This window comes from Homo sapiens, chromosome 6, assembly GCF_000001405.40.
Source record: "Homo sapiens chromosome 6, GRCh38.p14 Primary Assembly".
Taxonomy (NCBI): Eukaryota; Metazoa; Chordata; class Mammalia; order Primates; family Hominidae; genus Homo; species Homo sapiens.
The window spans coordinates 19,837,370-19,858,302 of record NC_000006.12 but is presented as its reverse complement, the minus strand read 5'-3'; the positions used below and the strand labels follow the sequence as shown (position 1 = coordinate 19,858,302).

The window sequence follows — 20,933 nt, the reverse complement described above, 5'->3', positions numbered from 1 at the left end:
GTACCCTGCTGGGCCATATGGGTAGATCAGGGAGTTGCCATGGAATAAATGATTATCAGGAGATCCTGAAGACTGAAGGGAGAAATTAGGTCAGACATGAAAAAATGATCAAGGGGAAAAGAATTTCACAAAAAGATAGAGTGGGATGAATATGAAAATATTAAGAAGGATCGAGTGAATCCTAAATTAAGCTTATTTTGGTTGAAGACTATGTTTTGGCCATAAACCAAAGCAAACCCTAAGAATTTGAGGTGTTTGGGTGACAGGCAGCAACAGGAAGGCCCTCGTAACTCTGACAGAAGTTGGCCAAACATCATACTCCAAATGCTGTTGAGTAAACTGACATGAGACAGTTGATAGACATCAGCTCCGTATCGTTTGTGACCCAGCATGCCCTGACAGTAACACGTGTTTGTCCATCTGTCATAGACTCTGTGGTTTAGAAAATGGGAGTCCCTTCAAGGCACTTGATGTGACAAGAGAGTCACAGCAAAAAACAATTTTGGCTGAGGTCAGATGCTGGGGAGGACATAGAACAGGTACCAGAGCCCTATAGAAAGAAAAGCTGAGCAGATTCAGAGCTAGACAGAGGTCAGGGACTGATTGAGAGTAGGAGATGCCAAGTCCCAATGTGTGTGTGTGTCTGGGTGCCTATGCGTGTGTGTGCCCATGGGTGCCTGTGTATGTGTGGGCGTGTATGTTGAGGATAGTTCTCAAAGAGGGTTAGCAGGAGTCTAGGAGCTGGTAAAACTTGGAAAACATACACTGAAAAACTTGGAAACATACACTGAAAATCAGGGGAAATTGCAGGCAGTTTTCTGCCTCCTTCCAGGCCCCTGTGGGCCTGCCCCAAGAACGTGGCCCTGCCGCCTGAAGGACAGACTTGGGTCTGAGGTGCACCTGGCCCCATTGTGGCATGTGCCTAGACAGAGTGTCTCTGGGCAGAACCTGCCTTGCCCAGAGTTACTGATGGAGGAGCAGTCCCAGGCCCCTCTTTTTTATCCTGTGACCCCACACTGTCCGTCTCACAGCTGATGGGGATAGAAGTGGGTACCCTACAGAAGGGCAGAAAACCCTCAGGCTGAACAGCACCTATAACCCTGTTCAGAAAAAGACTAGCTGGGCCAATCAGATTTTCTCTTGGAAATATGAACAAAAGCATCCTAAGACATATATTCAGATGATGGGAAGGGGGCTGCTTAGGGCAGAGTTGGGGCAGGAGGCCTTGGTGGGCTGTATGTAGGGGGATTAGAAACTTTGATGAAGCAAAGACAGCCAATAAGAGAAAGAGGAGAACACAAGAGATATGCTGATAAATGAGGAGGTGTGGAAAGAAAGAAATAATGCCACCTTTGAGAAAACTAGCTGATCCCTAGAGCTGCCAGACTCCTAAAGCGCATTGCAGTTCGTGGGTCAACTCCAGTCTGTGAGGGGATCACTTCCTTTCTGGAAGAGAGATGCTTAACGTAGCTCTGTGGTTTGGTCAGCAGGTTTCCTTAGTGTGATCTCCCCATGAGACTGAACAGGGTACCCGCAGGACCACGGTTTTCGCTGGTGTAAACTTTTCGGTGGGGAGATATTTGTTATCTCAGACTGAGTCTCTCATTCAGCCATGGCAGTTATCTGCCAATCTGCCCAGCTGGTGCAGGACTCGGCTACTTCAATAAGAAAAAGGAGAGAAGACAGTTTTCTCCTTCGTCCTTCCCCACTCCTGCCCCCCTCCTCCTGGCACCACTGCCACCACTCCTCCTCCCTATATTGTACAAAACCATGTGGATTTGCTGAACAGGTCTGCAAAATTAATTATACTGTGAGTGCTTGGTAACCAATGAATTGTAAATTGTACATTATTAAAACAGCATCAGAGCTCTGACTGATCTATTATTCTTTGGGGAATAAACGAAGATAAGAGCTTTATGCATTTTAGAGGTCTTTCTCGCCACCGTACAGCAGGCATGGAGAGGAAATATGGAGTAGTTATTTTGTTTTGTTTTTCTGCAAGTTGGATTAAATAGAAGGAGTGTCATTTTTTTCTGTTATTAAATTGTTATTTGTGCTCTCACATGTCGGTTTGCAGCATCTAATAGTGTAGTGGTCACTCAATAAATGCTATTCTGTAGTGATTGTGATAATATGTATCCATATATGCTCATCCACAAACGCAGCACCATGTCAACCTAATGTGAACAGGAGATATATGATATGACATGGCATCGTAATAAAAGAAATTGTGTTGATGTAGTGCTTCTCTGCAAAACCTCAGGAAGAATTCAGAGTAAACAGTAGGAAACATAAAGAACATCAGCTGAGTGTGCACCAGGGGCCTTGTGGCTTCAATTGAAAAGGAAGAATCTGGAAGAAATGGCTTTTCTTGTCTCTTCCTTCTAGACACAACAAGATTACTCCTGGGAGTTGCTTATGAACCTCTCTTTTTACTGAACTATCTCCTCCGTGCAGAATTTCTCAGCACCTTTCTACCTGCCATGATGATTCCTTCCAGGCGCATCACACGGTTCTCCATGGAAACTTTCACTTTCTATGATTGACCAAGCCTGTCGTCCCTGGGACTGTAACTGCCAGTCAGCCACGCAGCATTGCCCCAACAAGCAGGCGTTCTAGCTAAGAGAACCGAAACAGGTACCAGGCAAACCACATGCCATCCCATCCCCAAAATAAATAAACAGTGAAAAACCCACCATTGCAGTTGGAAATCGGATGCCTCAGGACTGAGCTATTCCTCAATGCTGTGCAGGACCAGCTACATAATCTGAGGCTTATGCAAAACGAAAAGGCAGGCCCCTCGTTAAATAAAATTAGTAAGAATTTCAAGACAGTGATAGCAGAACATTAAACTAAGTGTGGGCCCTTCAATGCTCAGGGCATTGTTCAATTGCACAGGTTGTCACCCAGGAAGCTGGCCATTGTGTACAGAGGGACATTTGCCCACTGGTTTGGGAAGGCGTCTGTATTTTTTTGGTGCATTTTAATCTTCTAGTGGCCTGATTGGACCATCCGACAATTTCAGCATTTGTTTTGCTGGGAGAAGGACAGTGCCATTCATTTTTTTTCCCCTATTTGGAGCTGCAGTGAGATCACTCCTCCCTCTCGATGACCAGGTAATGGCCATTTGCAATATGAGACTACTATGGCAAAGAGACAGGTCAAAGGGGAATGATGTTTTATGATCAAGCTGAAAAATCTATAGGGAGTCGGGGGAGCTCAAAGATGCCTGTGAGAGACAGATAGACAAAGAGATTGCCATAGAAAAATAGAAATCAACTTTCTGATAAGACATTCTTAGACTCAGTCATACTGAGAGGTGACAGCGTGCTGGCAGTCCTCACAGCCCTCGCTCGCTCTCGGGACCTTCTCTGCCTGGGCTCCCACTTTGGCAGCACTTGAGGAGCCCTTAAGCCCACCGCTGCACTGTGGGAGCCCCTTTCTGGGCTGGTCAAGGCCGGAGCCGGCTCCCTCAGCTGGCAAGGAGGTGTGGAGAGAGAGGCGCGAGCGGGAACCAGGGCTGCGCGCGGGGCTTGCAGGCCAGCTGGAGTTCCGCGTGGGCGTGGGCTTGGCGGCCCCGCACTCGGAGCAACCGGCCGGCCCTGCCGGCCCCGGGCAATGAGGGGCTTAGCACCCGGGCCAGCGGCTGAGGAGGGTGTACTGGGTCCCCCAGCAGTGCCAGCCCACCGGTGCTGCGCTCGACTTCTCGCCGGGTCTTAGCTGCCTTCCCGCGGGGCAGGGCTCGGGACCTGCAGCCCGCCATGCCTGAGCCTCCCACCCGCTCCGTGGGCTCCTGTGCGGCCCGAGCCTTCCCGATGAGCGCCGCCCCCTGCTGCACGGCACCCAGTCCCATCCACCACCCAAGGGCTGAGGAGTGCCGGCGTGAGAGTGGCAGGTAGCTCCGCCTGCAGCCCCGGTGCGGGATCCACTGGGTGAAGCCAGCTGGGCTCCTGAGTCTGGTGGGGACGTGGAGAACCTTTACCTCTAGCTCAGGGATCGTAAATACAACAATCAGCACTCTGTGTCTAGCTCAAGGTTTGTAAACACACCAATCAGCACCCTGTGTCTAGCTCAGGGTTTGTGAATGCACCAATCCACACTCTGTATCTACTCTGTACTACTCTGGTGGGGCCTTGGAGAACCTTTATGTCTAGCTCAGGGATTGTAAATACACCAATCGGCACTCTGTATCTAGCTCAAGGTTTGTAAACACACCAATCAGCACCCTGTGTCTAGCTCAGGGTTTGTGAATGCACCAATCCACACTCTGCATCTACTCTGTACTACTCTGGTGGGGCCTTGGAGAACCTTTGTGTGGACACTGTATCTAGCTAATCTGGTGGGGACGTGGAGAACCTTTGTGTCTAGCTCAGGGATTGTACACTCACCAGTCAGCGCCCTCAAAACATACCACTCGGCTCTACCAGTAAGCAAGATGTGGGTGGGGCCAGATAAGAGAATAAAAGCAGGCTGCGCGAGTCAGCAGTGGAAACCCTCTGGGGTCCTCTTCCACGCTGTGTAAACTTTGTTCTTTTGCTCTTTGCAATAAATCTTGCTACTGCTCACTCTTCGGGTCCACACTGCTTTTATGAGCTATAACACTCACCGTGAAGGTCTGCAGCTTCACTCCTGAAGCCAGCGAGACCACAAGGCTACTGGGAGGAACCAACAACTCCAGATGCGCCGCCTTAAGAGCTGTAACACCGCGAAGGTCTGCAGCTTCACTCCTGAGCCAACGAGACCACGAACCCACCAAAAGGAAGAAACTGAACACATCCGAATATCAGAAGGAACGAACTCCAGACGCGCCACTTTAACAGCTGTAACACCGTGAGGGTCCGCGGCTTCATTCTTTAAGTCAGTGAGACCAAGAACCCACCAATTCCAGACACAATATTATGATTTTTCTCAGCACTATATTGTTGCTATCTTCTTGTCCTCCAAAAAACCCCGCATGATTTTGAGGAAAAGTTGGCAATAGTTTCTTTCTTTTTATTTTTAGGGGTCATGTTCACCTGTTCTTTCTCGTGTTTGGTAGGCACTAGGAAATAGGAGCGTTGATTATCCAGGGACGTCAGGGTAGCACAGGGAGACGTTATGAGGGAGGGGTTGAGGGAGGGGCCATGGTACCAATGGTTACTGGAGAATGCTCCCATTGCAGCAGAGCAGTTGTTGGGGAGGTCTGCACAAAACCTGGGTTAATGAGCCGTGCCTAGCCCAGCAGGTTTAACTTCCTAGAAGGGCTGCCTATGTCCCTGTGACCTGTCACTGCTGTGAGAACCTCAACCTCTACTGTCTGGGAAGGATGGCTATCTTCAGCTGGACAGGCTTGCAAATCGTATTCTGGCATACTTCTTCATTTCAGTATCTTTATCAACAGAACTACATGCAGACACTTTAGGGGAATTAATAGATCAGCCCAGAGGGGGCAGGCGGATAAGAAATGAAATTACAATAGCGAAGTTATGGAAACAACCTAAGCATCTGTCAATGGATGAATAGGTAAAGAAAATGTAGTGTATATATACATACTGGAATATTATTCGACCTTAAAAAAGAAGGAAATCCTCCTATTTGTGACAACATGGATGAACCTGGAGGATGTTAAGTGAAATAAACCAGAAACAGAAAACTGTATAACCTCACTTATATATGGAATGTAAAAAGGTAAAACTCATCAAAGCAGGTTTAGAAGGGTAGTTATGGGGAGAGGCTGGGGGAGTAAGGAGATGTTGGTCAACGGGTACAAATTTTCAGTTACGCAAGATGAATAAGTTCTGGAAATCCAGTGTACAACATGGTGGCAATAGTTAATGATATTGTGCAGTATACTTGAAATTTGATAAGAGGGTAGAGCGTTTAAGTGTTGTCAGCACACACATACACACACAAATGGTAATGATATCAGGTGTTGGATAAGTTAATTAGCTTGATTGCGATGATCATTTTACAATGTATACATATGTGAAAACATCAAGTTGTATACCTTAAATATATGGAATTTTTATTTGTCAATTATACCTCAATAAGCTGGGAAAAAAGAAAAGAACAAGTAATAGCATGCTTTATACTTCTTTTGCTGCTTCATAAAATTGGTTTTGCTTTTGCTTTGGAAGAACACCAGCAGAGAAAGTAGCACTCAAAAGGGGAGTTAAAGTGCTGTTCCAGTAGGCTCTGGATTAGCCAGAAGGTTGAAGCAGCCCCTAGACAGGGAAAAGAGGCTGTCTTCAGGCAATAGGCCCTATTTAGGAGTGCAGTGTGCCCTAAAATTCAAAAGAGGGCAGCAGATAACTTGCACTGCCTGTAGGACCAGGAAAGCGTGTAACTTGAGGAATGTCAGCAGGAAAATTTACTGGTTTTTCAAAACTCACGTCATGCAAGGGTTAGGTGAACCAGAAATTGTGTTTCATAAATTGTGTGTTTAAGTGTAAAAGCAAATATTTGATGAATGGGATCTAAGGAGCTTTGGTGATGTGGAGGGGCAAGTGCAGGCAGATTGTCCACCATGGCAGCCTCGTGCTCTGTTATTTAGTGATATAAAACCTTGCGGTGGCAAGGTCAGCAAAGTTAAGGCCAGAGTGCATGAGAAATAGCTGTGGAGTGTGAGGTGAAGAGGCTGCGTGTGTGCTTGTACAGTCTCCTCGTTGCTTTCACCGAGTCTCTCCAATGAGCGCGACCCTCCTCACAAAGTGTGCACAGTGCTTCTCTCCTGGGTAAATTTACAGGATGTGGGAGACAGTGAGTCTCTCTGAGATTTTCCAGCACTTCCAGAAGAAAGAAAGTTTGTGTTAGGAAGGACAGGCCCCAGCTCCCTGGGACTTCAGGGAGGCTGGGGGGAGCTGCAGTGGAGAAGAGGAGGAGGTTGCTGAAGGAGAAGCAGCCTGAAGTTCTCAGGTTGAAAATACAAACCTTAGCCCCATCCTGCGGAATTTTGGGATTTCATTCCTAGGATCACCCTATAGACCTCTTTATGATTCAGTTTCCTGGAAAAGATGATATTATGGTATGGATCCTAAACACAGTTTCACAAGGAAGTTCTGTGTCTTTTGGCAGGGGAAGAATAGTGAACAAAGTGCAATCTTACTTTTAAAATAAATCTTGAAATGATATTGCAAGCCTTATGAGATCTCTGATAATCTTTTTTTATTTGACCTGGTTTTAAGTAATTCTTTTTATTCTTGATGTTTTTCTTAAAAGCATTTTAGAATCATTCAACCTTCTAAGAAAGCATCAAACCATATAAGCAATCTAATCTAAAAAATGATACCTCTAAAAGTTGAAACTTTTGTTTATTTTGACTACTTTTTGATTACTGGAAAGAATAAAAAAATTTTACTCTATCAACATTGGATTATATAAACTGTAAAGAGCTTCTACTAAGACGTGTGAAAATGCACATTTTCTTTTTTTATATAACTTCAAAATTAACAGATACTATACTGTTTAGATACATACCTGATGCTAGATAAAGAGTTCCTGAGAAACATGCCCTAAACTTTTGGACTGATTTAATATGAAACAATTACTACAGAGCTGAGTTAATCAGCCCCTTTATAGATTTTGGCGAAGATGATTCTCTTCATATGTATAATAATGAAAACCAAACTTGGCAAAAGCTCACAGGTCTACAGTGACTGTGTATTTCTTTGCATTCTCTAGAATATTGAGGGAGGAGATTATTTTTTACTGGTGTTTTACTCTCAGGAAATTAGAATTGCAAGTTGATAAACAAGTTGATAGGGTCTTTAGGGCCTGTGTGATCAATCAGGACTTCTGGGGTTCCTGTAGGTATCCTTGAAGTCTGCTTGTGGGTTGTATAGTCCAGAGTGATCATGAGATCTTTCACCTCAGAATGACTGTAGATGAAAAGATACATTTCTTTTGCCAGAGCAGTTCTCTCTAGAGTTTCAAAAACAATAATTTTGTTCTCTCAGGAACATAGCCCTCTCAGGAATAACTCCAGTCGGTCCTCAAATTACAAATACAGAAAGAATGGCTGTGTTTACAGAATTTTTATAAGAGAAAAATGATCTGTAAAAAAAAAGAAATATATGCATCAGAACAAATAGGAATTTTTAAAAGAAACAACTCCTAAGATAAATACTGAAAAAAAGAAATGCTCTGATAATATAAATGATTCTACTATGTACTGAACTCAATAAAGTCTCCTTGACTGTGAGTTGGAAGCCCTGAAATTTTGCTGGCAGCTCTGCCCCTAAGTTAGGTCATCTTATGAAGGACACATTTTATTTTATTTTTATTTTTTTGTAGAGACAGTGTCTTGTTCCATCACCCAGGCTGGAGTGCAGTGGCGCGATCATGGCTCACTGCAGCCTTGAGCTCCTGGGCTCAAGTGATCCTCCCACCTTAGCTTTTTGAGTAGCTGAAACTATAGACGCATGCCACCATGCCCGGTTATTTTTTTAAATTTTCTTTATAGAGACAAGGTTGTGCTATGTTGTTCAGGACAGTCTGGAACTCTTGGGCTCACATGCTCCTCCCACCTAGGCCTCTCAGAGTGCTGGGATTATAGGAGTGAGCCACCATGCCCAGCCTCAAAAGGCATATTTTAAAGCGTCACAGCCTCAGTTTCATTTTCGGTAAAATGAGGGAATTGGATTTTATTTCAAAATTCTATTATTTTCTGATTCATTGAATTATTGCAAAGAACATAATGAACTCCCAAATACTGGTGTCTCCATCCTGTTGAATTAATCTCAGCTTTAGTTTATAGGGAAGCATAGCCACTAGAAATTATGTTAAACATAAATTATAAAAGGTACATTTTTCTAAGTCATGAAGAAATACATAAATTTTATGTTGTTTTCAACCTTAGTCTGTCTCTTAAATACCACATGGCATACTGTGTACCACTCTGTTATTATGTCTTTCGTTTTCAGAATTGTTTTCTACCAGGAGACTATTATTAGGGTAGCCCGATGACTTGGCCCTGAATATGGGAGTTCATGTGTAGAGTTCCTCCCTCTGTCCCATCCTCAGCATTTATGTCAGTCCTACAGCACTTAGTTAACTATCAGAAAATGGATCAAAAAGCAAACAAGTATCCCATCTGACCGTGTTAACAGCAAAATCAACAGATATAAGGCCCCCTTTTAATTTCCTGGAGGCCGTCACCTCGTTTCTTCTGCTGTTTCACTACTGCAGTCCTTTCTTGTTCCTCAGACTCTCGTCCTTCCTCAAATCCTTCTCCTTCCATCAACATTTATGTCATTTATGTCTTCGGTGCGCACAGAACTTCAGGTTTATTCTGAAGAGAAATAAATGAAACAGAAAATAGCTTCTGCACTGGGAAGGCTTAAAAATCTCTTCTCCCTGAAATGTTTGTGCATTTTTGAAATCTTTGTCCTCCATATGGAGTGAACACACACACACCCTGCTCCTCTATTCTTCTTAACCCTGTTTTCATACTGGAAGAGGGCAGGCACATGCTAATCATTCCTGTCCCTATTCAGCAAGCATGCGACTTGCTGAAAACCTACCTCCTTGAAGCAGCAGGATGAATACAGATAGAAATGATTAGAGGGGAGGAACTTACAAATACTGAATAGCTCATGTGCCTGACACTGTGTTAGGGGAGACTCTCAGGGCTGAGTAGTACTGTGTCATCATTATAAGAGAAAGTTTTAGAACGGCTCAGAGAGGTTAAGTAACTTGCCTGAGGCCACACAGTAAGTGTTAGAGCTCAGAATCTAATTCTGCAAACTTTCTGATTTTTCCTTTATAAAAGATCTTATTCAATTTTGGAAGAATTGAAGTTATTCTTCATTGTTTTTTAATTCATGAAAATTGTATACAATTCTATGAAGAAGGAATCTAATATATGAAATTAAGGTATTATTATATTACAGCATATCCCAATTTTACATGGATTTAGTATTTTTGTGTTAGATAGCCATGTATTAGGATAGTTCTAAGGCAAATGCAGCAGTTGAGATAAGACCATTTAGCCTCTTTTTCTACATCATGTTGTAGGCAATCCCTTAGGATGATATACTACACTAGGGGAAATGAAATTTTTTTTTCTAAATTTGTTTTTCCAGAAGAATCTCTTTACCATTAAAGCAATGCTGCTCATGGCTACCTATATAGGCCTACTAGCTTCTCCAAACATCACATAGAGGTAAAGAGAGAAGGTAATGATTTGGAAGGACATATAAGAGGGTGAAAAAAATTCTTTCTTTTAGGTTTTTGCTTAGAAAACAATGATTGCGTGTGAGAACAAAGTGGGTTATTATAAATGTTTTGACACATAGCTAGATTGGAATGAAGATCAAGGGTATGAAGGACTCAACATCTTGACCCTAGACCTGTCCCAGGATCCCACTCCAAGGTCTCATGTATGCAGCAGCTCCCTCTTGGGCATCTCCTGTTACCAACTTCCTCTTCCCATGAGCTGTTATTGCCACTTCTGTTGATATTATATTAACCTTTTCTCTTTACTCGATAAGAGCTCCTGGAAAATTAGAAATTGGTGTCGAAGAGTAGGAGAAACACACCGTGTGTGGCATAACAATAATAGCTTACACCTACATACCATTTTGGAGCTTACAATACTGTTTCTCAATGGTTCCTGGGAGACTTGCCTCATTCACCAGGTGAAAGCTCAAATGCAGACTTCTGTGTCATACCCCACACCTGATGAATCAGAATCTCAGTGGTGGGGGGTACCTGGATTAGTGGAATTCAGAAAGTCATCTCTTCAGATTTTTTTTTTTTTTTTGAGATGGAGTTTCGCTCTTGTTGCCCAGGCTGGAGTGCAGTGGCGTGATCTTGGCTCACCGCAACCTCTGCCTCCCGGGTTCAAGCAATTCTCCTGCCTCAGCCTCCTGAGTAGCTGGGATTACAGTCATGCGCCACCACGCCCGGCTAATTTTGTATTTTTAGTAGAGATGGGGTTTCTCCATGTTGGTCAGGCTGGTCTCAAACTCCCGACCTCAGGTGATCCACCCACCTCGGCCCCCCAAAGTGCTGGAATTACAGGTATGAACCACCGCACCTGGCCCAGATGATTTTTATATATACCAAAATTATAACCATTGTCTTGTAAATATTTTCATGTATGTTACTTTCTTTTTCTCTTTTAAGAACCACCTGAGCTAGGTTAGAATTATTATATACTCATTTTACCTATGAGAAAATTGGAATCTGGAAAAGTGACTTGCCTGAGGGGACACAGCTAACGAGGTGCAGGCCTCTGACTAGAACCCAAGTCTTTTGGCTTGGCCGGACAGTCTCTGCCCTTTCCCCACTCTACACTGTTCCCATAGACTGAAGGGTAGGTCTGTGCACACACGTGGATATAATTGTGGAGGACAACACAGGTTGAAATTCTTTCGTAGAATGTGCTTTTGATGTTGTATTATATCTAAAGATTCATCACCAAATCCAAGATCGCATCGATTTTTCTGCCGTGTTTTCTTCTAGAATTTTCAGTTTTGCACTTTATGTTTAAAATGTAATGGTCTATGATCCATTTTGAGATAACTTTTGTAAGAGGTTTAAGGTCTGTGCCTAAGTTAATTGTGGACGTCCAATTTTTCCAGCATCATTTGTTGAAAAGACCATCCTTTCTCCATTGAATTGCCTTTGCTCATTTGTCCAAGAGCTTTGCAATTCTTGATCCTTGTAATTAAAGTACTTTATCTCTGCTCTCTGTTTTAAAAGGCAGCCAGATCAGTCCAGCATTTAATAATTATTTGCTTAAGATTTGAACCCCACTTCTTAGGAAAGAACATGAGGCAAGTTGTAGATTAGGATAGGGAACAAGATAAACCACTGAAGAGTAAACTAAAATAGAATCCATCCACACTGAACTTTGTGGCCTTGGCTTAGAGATGGGGAAACTAGGTTCTAGATCTGACTCTTATCACTTCACCTTTTCAGCTTCTGTCTCCTTCCCTGAAAAATGAGAGGAATGTTGTTAGACATATTCCATGTTTCTTTCTTTTTTTCTTTTTTTTTTTTTCTTTTGAGATGGAGTCTTGCTCTGTCACCCAGGCTGGAGTGGAGTGGTGCAATCTCAGCTCACTGCAACCTCCACTTCCTGGGTTCAAGCAATTCTCCTGGCTCAGCCTCCCTAGGAGCTAGGATTACAGGTGCCCACCACCAAGCCCGGCTAATTTTTGTATGTTTAGTAGAGACGGTGTTTCGCCATATTGGCCAGGCTGTTCTCGAACTCCTGACCTCAAGTGATCTACCTGCCTCGGCCTCCCAAGTGCTGGGATTATAGGCATGAGCCACCACCGTGCCCGGCCTCCAGGTTTCTAATTATATGATTCCACTCTAGGGCCTCAGATCATGGTAGGGGTAATGAAAACTTCTATCTGTGAAAGGCTTTCCCATTCAGGCAGCAAGCTTGCCCTTTCAAGACTGACTCATGAGGATTCATTGCATGAATTGTAACTGATCCATCCCACGTCACTTCACCAATTCACGAGAGTAAAGAAACACACGCAGAGACTTAACTGTACAATTTTTACCAAGTCCCTTGCTTGCTCAGACCCATCACAACCTACGTCAGTGGGAGTCATCTCCCCTTACCCCACATTTTCATCTCAGGCACTGACGTGTCTTTGTTTCCTTATTCCAACATGGGTCAGTACTGTTTCTTTTATTTTTAATTTTTTTCTGGGGATACAGGATCTTCTCTGCCTCTCTTCCCCCCTTCTCAGTCTCTCCTTTAAACTCTCTTTGCCCTAGGCTGACCACACTCCTTCATTCTCAAGAACACGCAGCTTATCTGTTTTCCATGTTTAAGGCAGCCAAAGGCTTTTAAAGATAATAAAAATCTCTCCACTGCAATTTTGAGCTGCAAAGAATTTGCTAGATTTGCTGGCATAAAGAGTTACAGGAATGTTCTCCTAGTACTTGTGGTCTGGAATCTTTGGAGGGTCAGGGATCTACCAGAAACACAGACATGTGAAAATAATTATAATATAGCAGGGGGGGCGTGGATGCTGTTTCCGGGGTGAGGAGGGGAGGCATCAAATAATTTTTGCTGAAGAGGTAACAGTTGAGTCTTGAATGATGGTCGGGTAGGAGTTTAGCAACAGCCAAGAGTGGGAACGAGGGTCCGAGATCAAGGCAGGGGGTAACACACTGCGCAAAGAAAGAAAGAGTGAAAGAGGATGCCATTTTGAATGTAGATGGCTTAGCTCTTACTCACAGGTGGGCAAGGCTGACTTAGGTGGTTTGGCTGTCTGGACAGGTGCCCCCTCCTTCACTGCATTGTTCTACAGTCCACGTGTGTCCTTCCTGAAGTTGCTCCCTTCTTAACTCTCAGGAAATCAAGCATACACTGTTAAGACTAACAAAATAAGCATGCTTTGCTGTCTAGCATATAGGGGGCAAGATCTTAGCATAACATGTGTGCTTGAAGACAGCCAGAAGTGGAAGAGACAGAGGACAGCTGGGAATGACTCTTGAAGGATCTGTAGGTCCAGGAGGGAATGGCTCTTGAAGGATCCATAGGTCCAGGTCACGAGGAGGCCTTGCATGCTGCTCCAAGAAACTGGACTTGCCTGCATAGGCAGAGGGTGACTGTTGAGGAGTCATGCAGTTAGAGCACATGGAAGGTAGAGAAGATAAAGAAAGGTGAGGCAAGGAGACTAGAATAGGAGCTGACTGCGAGTTCTGATGTGAAATGGAGATACAGATACTGATAGAGTAGCAGTGAGGCTGGGATGCTGGGGAGGATCTGAGAGAATGTTAGCAGGAATTGTTGTGCTCAGTTGAATATGATGGGGCAGGAGAAAGTCAAGCACAATCCCAGATTTCTGACTTGAGTGATGACAGGTGGCATTAGCCGAGATAAGGAATTCAGAAAGAGGGGCAGTTTTGGGGAAGACCATCAGTCCTATCTGGAATCTACTGCTTTTCAGAGGTGGAGAGGACCAGACGCAGTTAGATATATTGGTCTTAAGCTCAATTGCAACTCAATGCAGATGAAAGGGCAAAGAAGGAGTGACTAAATACTCTGGGAAGAGACTCTTAAGGGGGCATTCAGTTCAGTTAGTAACAAATATTTTACAAGGTTACTTTGTTAGGCACCGCAGGACAGGCAAAGAAAAGTCTCAAACAAAGAACCCTACTTTGTTTTAACTACAGCTGTGGACTCAGGTTAAACTTGTATGAAAAGTGTTTCCAATAATTATTGCTTAGGTAAGTTGTAAAATTTTGGTCTATAAGTTTATGTCTGTTTTCCTGGCTTTCTCTGAGGTTTGACCTACAAATAAGAACTTCCCTATTTCTCTCTCGCTCTCTCTGAAATTAATCATGAGGTTAAACCAGATTCTAGGAGATGATATATACATGACAGTTGATTCACCTGTTCTTTAGTTTCGGTCCTGCCTTATGCTTAAACATAATATGGTTGGTTATAGCAGTCCAAAAAAAATGGAAGGTACACCTTTATGGAAATTCCCAATCTTAGGAACTAAAAAAGGAGAGAAAATAGAGAAAAGTTTACTTACTTTTTAGAGTAAAAATCCCTTTTGAAAGATATTTTTCTGTATGTCGGTGAACTATTTTTAGACATACACACTCATACTTAACTACAATCACTCAATTAACTGCTAAACCTTATGAAGGAAGTAGTATTTGAAAAACATTTAAAATATTTAAGAGGATATTTAAATAAATACTTAAGAAACAGTCTATGAACTTGCATGAAGAACTCTACAAGTACAATACTTTCCTTCGGAAATTAAACTTTGAAATAAAAGATAGCATTTTAAAATGTGACTTGTATATGCCTGCCCAAAGTCCTGATAGGTATTTTATATCATAAAGAATTGGGAAACAGTAACTAAAGGCAAATAATAGTGCCTTGTTTCACCAGGAATTTGCATATTGTGCTAATATTAATGTAATCTCTTAGAAAATTCTCATCTAAAGTGTGAGGTTTCTTATTAAAAAAAATTTCATGGGTTCATGTAGAAAATTTTTCATGGGTCTCTTTATTTAAACATTTTAAGTTCAATTCCTCTTCAGTTATATCTTAGCCAGTGGAATACAGATAATGCATTTTGTTCTTCTTTCCCCAGAAACTGAAGTGTTTACTCTTATGGACTCAGAGGGGCTTTTCAAGTTACTTCAATTTTTACAGCTCTTTTCATATCCCATGTGTGGATTTACTGTGAAGACTTATGAATGATGGAACTCCAGCAGCCTCACCATGGCCTTACTTTGGCTTTGGTAAGTATAGAAAACCTTTGGCAATGTGGTTGAGACCTAAGTTTTAACACTTAGGCAAAACTTTTTAGCAGGAGCCAGAATATGAATAAATATGAAGGAGGCACTTGAATGCAAAACACACTTTACAAATTCATAGCAAATTTGAGAGCATTTTCAATTAAGTATATATGACTGCGGGTTGTCTCCCTTGAACAAATTAGTTCTCGTTTGTAAGGGTTATATCTTTTAAAGTATCGATCAAATCAGTGCTCAAGGTAGAACTGTAAGTAAAGTTACAATCCTAAAACCTTTTGGGCAATGGTTCTAATTAATATAACTAATATTTTAGCAAAATATCCTGGGTTGTAATTGAAAGAAATCATCTGGGTCTGAAGAATACCTACTGAGGGCAGCCCTATTAAGATTCATTCTGAGACGGGTTAAATTAATTTCCTGGACTTGCAAAGCAGAAACGGGAAGGTTTTCCTTCCTCATAAGCCTGCAGGGTTTGGTGTTTGGCCCTGTCGAGACCCAAAGGCTATCTAGGCTGATTAACATATATATAATTAAAGTGCACCAGCTAGAAAGGCAGAGCCAGTTTCATTTGGCTCTGTACTACTGTGAAATAAATTGTCTGCATTGTTTAACTTTTTTTTTTTAATTAGTTTTCCCTGGACGTCATCCTGCTGCCTTCTTTAGGAATATTGCTTCCTATCCTAAGCAGGGACTAGAGTAGAGAAGCTTTCTCCAGCATTCAAACTAGATTTTCTTTCCATTCATATCGCCACTTTTCATAACATGGTAAGAAACACTGTAAATAATTGAGGTGATCCATCAAGAGACCCATTCTGGATAATGAAAAATTGCATAACTCAGTAAAAGTCAATTAAAAACCACAAACTCCAGAGCCTTTTGCTCAGTGAAGATTTATTGTTATAGAAGGCAACTAATACAATAGATTTGTGGGCTCGAAATTTTAAAAAGTTCTAAAAAGGCAGTTAAAGCTTGACAATAAACTTGAGTAAGGTTTACACAATATCAAAGTATATTAGTTCTTTGAAATGAAAAGGTATTTTTTTTCTTCCTTTAACATTGAGATGTCTGAGATGTCAGGATTTTGTAGCATTCTTAGAAACAACATCCACTGTGTGGGATACTTTTTTTCCTTCTGGAGTTTTAAACCAGTCTGACTCTTTGGTTGTGCCTATACAATGAAAAGTCTACAAATGAAATGAGAGAAGTCAGGATATTTTCCTTTGTTAAACTAAGTAGCTGAATAATTAGAACTACCTAGATAAAAGACTCAAAATGTTTTTGTTATCTGGTTGCCTGGTTAGGACATAGCCAACATTTCAATGGAATGTAGTATCTTGTACAACTGCATATAATTTTTTAAAAAATAAACAATGACTTTGTTTCTTTAGATACATCAAATGCTGCTTGAGTGGCCAAAGGGAAAATGCCAACTCTTTGAAATGTAGTATCTGTAGCACTTTTCTTCTTTCAGTAGTTTTTCATGCCCCAAATACAAACTTTAAGGAGTAACATCTATCCTCAAAACCCAAAAATACCCATTTGTTTTGAGGTTCACAGTCCACCAGTATAAGTTTTAAACTGCGCCAAAAGGCTTAGGTAGGGTTCAGCAGTCAGGCATGACAGATGCATAATTCTAACCAACAGTGCACATGTGACATGCTTCCTACTGAAATTAAACTGCCAAATAAAAAGGAAGGATTGTGCCCTTTTTAATAACAAAGAATGCAGTCGTTAGAATTCTTCAGATTTGGAATTCCAGCAGCACTCTAGTGTTTTCTTCTTGATGTGTGACAAGAATGAATAATATCAAAAATAAAAATAAACCTCATCTAAACAAGCAGTTCTTTGACTTTATAACGTTCAACATCAAATTCTCAAAATACTCAAGACCAGTAAATTATCAGAGCTGAGGAAATAACATGCTGAGGACAGAATCAATTTTTAAACATTTTGATTGATTTTAACCTGCTAGCATTAGTTTTGTTCATTTCTGTTTAGACATTGCCACTTCAACTGACTACTAGGGACCATGGTATTTCATATTCATATAAATATCTGAATTTGACCTCATAAGAAGTCCCTTGGGTCTATAATACTTTTATTCTTGTATAATCTGAAACAAATCCTTTCCTTTTAAAAATCAAACAGACCACGTTATACACACAGTTGACTATTTACAAAGCACCCAATTAAATCCTACTTAATTCTTTCACTCTAAAAATTCCATCTAACTTGTGTGTAAAGTACCCATAACATTAAATGCATAATGTTCACAAACCCTGATAGTCCTATCTAACCTAGAAAATATTACCTTCCTTAAGGAGAAAAAAGAGCCTTAAAAGAAAAATAAGAGTAAGGTTTTAAAGAAATGAGACCAGAAATCACAGTACAAGACAGAGAAATCTACTTTAATATTCACATGTAAAAGTTACACATCACAAGAGATTGGACAGTAGCTTAGCGTAACATAGCTATAGTGAAAATCATTTTTATAAAAAAATAATCTAGATGCGGTCATCAGAATTTTTGGTCTGCTTAAGTTAATGTTTGAAGATCGACTTTTATCCCTGCTTGAAGGATTTGCCATTATGCCTTTTTTTTCTCCCACTGTTGCCTATTAATTCTTTGGAGGAAGGAAAGCAGAAAGTGTTCATTTCCAAGAGTTTGTCCTTTGGTAGCAAGCAGAGAACATTTTTTTCATTTCCATGATTTAAATAATCTGTACAGACATGAAACTTAGTGACATTAAGCTTTAGTGTAAAATGAAGAGTAATAAGCAATTTTTTTTCACTTTGATAAAACAGCAGATTTCGTAAACTCCTTAAGGATCCAAGCATTTCCTCATCCCATATGCAAAATCATTCAGAATCCATTTTGACCTCAGTTGAAAAACAAAAACAAACACTTACTCTGTATATATTACACTATAAAACCCTGTACTTAAAAACTGATAAGGTGTATTTTCAACATGTATGCTTCAAATACAAAGATTTCAATCTACATTTAAAAAAACACATTTGAATGGACTCAGAACAAGTTTAATTTGTGATTAAACATCTCATGCAATCATGCAAGACCACTAGCTATAACTGTTACTTCCGAGTCTATACTGGGCAAAACAAAAGCAAATTAAGAGCCAGGCCAAACAGAAAAGACATTCAAGATATCAAGAGCTCTGTAATTGAGCTGAAAAATGATTTTCCAAAAGAAATATTCCCATAGATTAAAAAAAAACACACACATAATATTTACAAAAAAATATTTAATTAAAAATATCTTATAATTACAGTATCTATTAAAGCATATACTTTCTCACACTTATAGAACATCTCTATATATACATGGTATGAAATGTCACTCATTTATCTATACAATATGTAACATTCTTGCAGAGAAAAGAAAGTTCTCTGCCCCGTTATAATCATCTATTTTAAACAATAGATGTAAAAAAAAAATATCTACAATGCTCTGGTAGATTAGTAAAGCTTCAAAACAAAAATTGAGCTCCTTGGTCACAAAGTAGGCTTCTAAAGTCGGATCTACTCTTGATCTTCTATTTATCAGTCCTGTCACACTTAAGCTTAAAAGTTTAACTGCACCTCCAAAAAACACAGAAATGTACAATTCACAGCAGTTATAAATGAAGAGACAAAAGAGAATACGTATGTAGAATGTTTATGAACGTGCAAAGAAAGAATGAAAGTTGTATTTTTCTTTCCTCTCTCTCTCTTGGAATGACGAATGAAAACGTTTCTAGGTTGGCCGATGTTTTTTCCTTTCCTCCGGTGGCTTTTTTTCTCTAACTTCTGCTCTTCCCCCTCCCTCTCTAGTGCTCCTGGCTCGGGCTCAGGCGGCCGCACACCTGTGGAAGAGGAATGAATAGAGGGGGTGTGTGAACCTTCTCGCTGCAGACTAACTGGCGCCACCGACCAAACTCAAGACATGCTTGATCAACAACCCAAAACAAACCACCAGGTCAGACAACACCCGCCCGCGGCCGGGCCAGGCGCCGAGCAGGCAGCTGCGGCCCTCGGGAAGCCCGGAGAGGGGACCCACTCCGGCGCCCTGCCCGCGTCCCCCTTTGTGGGTGACAGACTGCACGGGAGGACACCGGGGCAGCTCCCATGCCCACGAGGGTGCCCTCCCTCGGGAACTAGGGAAGGCAGAAGAGCCCGCTGACCACCAGAAAAAACACGGGGACGGCGGGGACAAGGGCTGACCCGTCTCCACCGAGACTGAACCTCGAGTTCTAAGGCTAAGTACGGGTTTACTTGCTACTTAGGTGGCAGGGAGAGAGGGGATTTACTTCCTTGGGAGTTTGCTCTCAGAAACGCTGGGGGCAAAGAACACCGCGGTGCCTGGCCCCGGAAGCCCTCGGGGACGGGCGTCTCTGGTGACCGGCCACCCGAGACGGGAAATGCGCGCTCACCTGGACAGCGCGGCTCAGCGGCACAGAATGCTGTCGCCCTGCTTGTTCACCGCGCCGGCCTGGAACAGCAACCGAACACCAAGGGAAAGGTTAGCAGGCGCAAACAACGCGCTCGACACGGTCCTGGATTGTCCTCGGAAATCAGGCTGGCGCGCCGACGCCCCCACCCCAGCCTGTAGCCGGGGGGGCCCCTCCGGGCTCAGGCGGGACTTGACAGCCCAGGGCGCCCACAGCCCCGAGTCCCGCCCTGCGCGTTCTCCCGGACCCGCGCTCGCCGAGCCCGGCCGGCTGCTGGCGGCCCGGGGGAGCCCGGAGGAGCAGGGGGAGGGGGCTGTCATTCCTGGCCCGCCCCTGCCCGGAGGACGGTGAGCGCCCGCGTCCCGCCACCACGCCACCAACCTCCCATCCCCCGCGGCGTCCGCCCACGGCCGGCGCCCGGCCTCTCACCGGGTCGGTGTTGAGCGCAGTGAGCGGGGTCCGCGGCGGCGCGGCTGGACAGGTCCCGGCCGGGTGGTGTGGCGGCGCGGGCGGTGGTGGCTGCCTCAGCAGGGCCGGGTGCGTCTCCAGCGCCAGCTGCAGGTCCAGGATGTAGTCGATAACGTGCTGCAGGATCTCCACTTTGCTGACTTTCTTGTTGGGCGGGATGGTGGGCACCAGCCTCCGCAGGCGGCTATAGCAGTCGTTCATATCGCACTGCAGGCACAGCGCCGGCTCGTCGGCCGCCGCCTCGGCCGCCTTACAGCGCGCTGCCGCCGCCGCCGCCGCCGCGGCTGCGGAGCCACCCAGGCTGTGGCCGTGCTCGGCCAGGCAGCGCAGCGCCAGCTCCCCGCCGCCGCAGCCCGACGGCGCCTTGCGGCCCGAGGGGCGCACCGGGCTCACCGCCTTCATCGCGCGCGCCCTGCGCTCTACGCGAGCGAACCCGCTGGGGCGAGCGAGGGAGGCAGGCAAGCTCCGGGCCCCGTCCGCGGCCGGCTCCGCTCCCTTTGCCTCCGCGCCCGGCGCGCTCGGGGCACCGCGACACTCCCGAGCCCAACAATTGACGGGAGGGTCGCTCTGGGTTTTACGAGGGAATCTTTGCTCAGTGGGCGACACTCAGCCCGAGCCCAAAGGAAAAAAAAAGCAAAAGCACCGGAAGAAAAGTAGCCCACCCGGGTGTCCTAGTCACTCCCTTCGGAGCTCCGACTAAGCCCGATCGCGGCCGCCGCGCTCCCCTAGCCCGGGATCACCCCACTCCCGGTACTACTCACAACCGCGCCTCCTCCACTACGCTCTC

The 20,933-nt window shown here is 43.6% G+C and overlaps 1 protein-coding gene across 1 annotated transcript; it reads right to left on the bottom strand.

Moving 5' to 3' along the window:
- Positions 1 to 16,105: 16,105 nt before the first annotated feature.
- ID4 (inhibitor of DNA binding 4) lies at positions 16,106 to 20,933 on the bottom strand. Its single transcript, NM_001546.4, has 3 exons — positions 20,108 to 20,933; positions 19,661 to 19,719; positions 16,106 to 19,093 (listed from the first exon to the last, which is right to left on the bottom strand). Exons 1-2 carry the CDS (start codon positions 20,546 to 20,548, stop codon positions 19,675 to 19,677), a joined length of 486 nt encoding a protein of 161 aa, NP_001537.1. The 5' UTR covers positions 20,549 to 20,933; the 3' UTR covers positions 16,106 to 19,093; positions 19,661 to 19,674.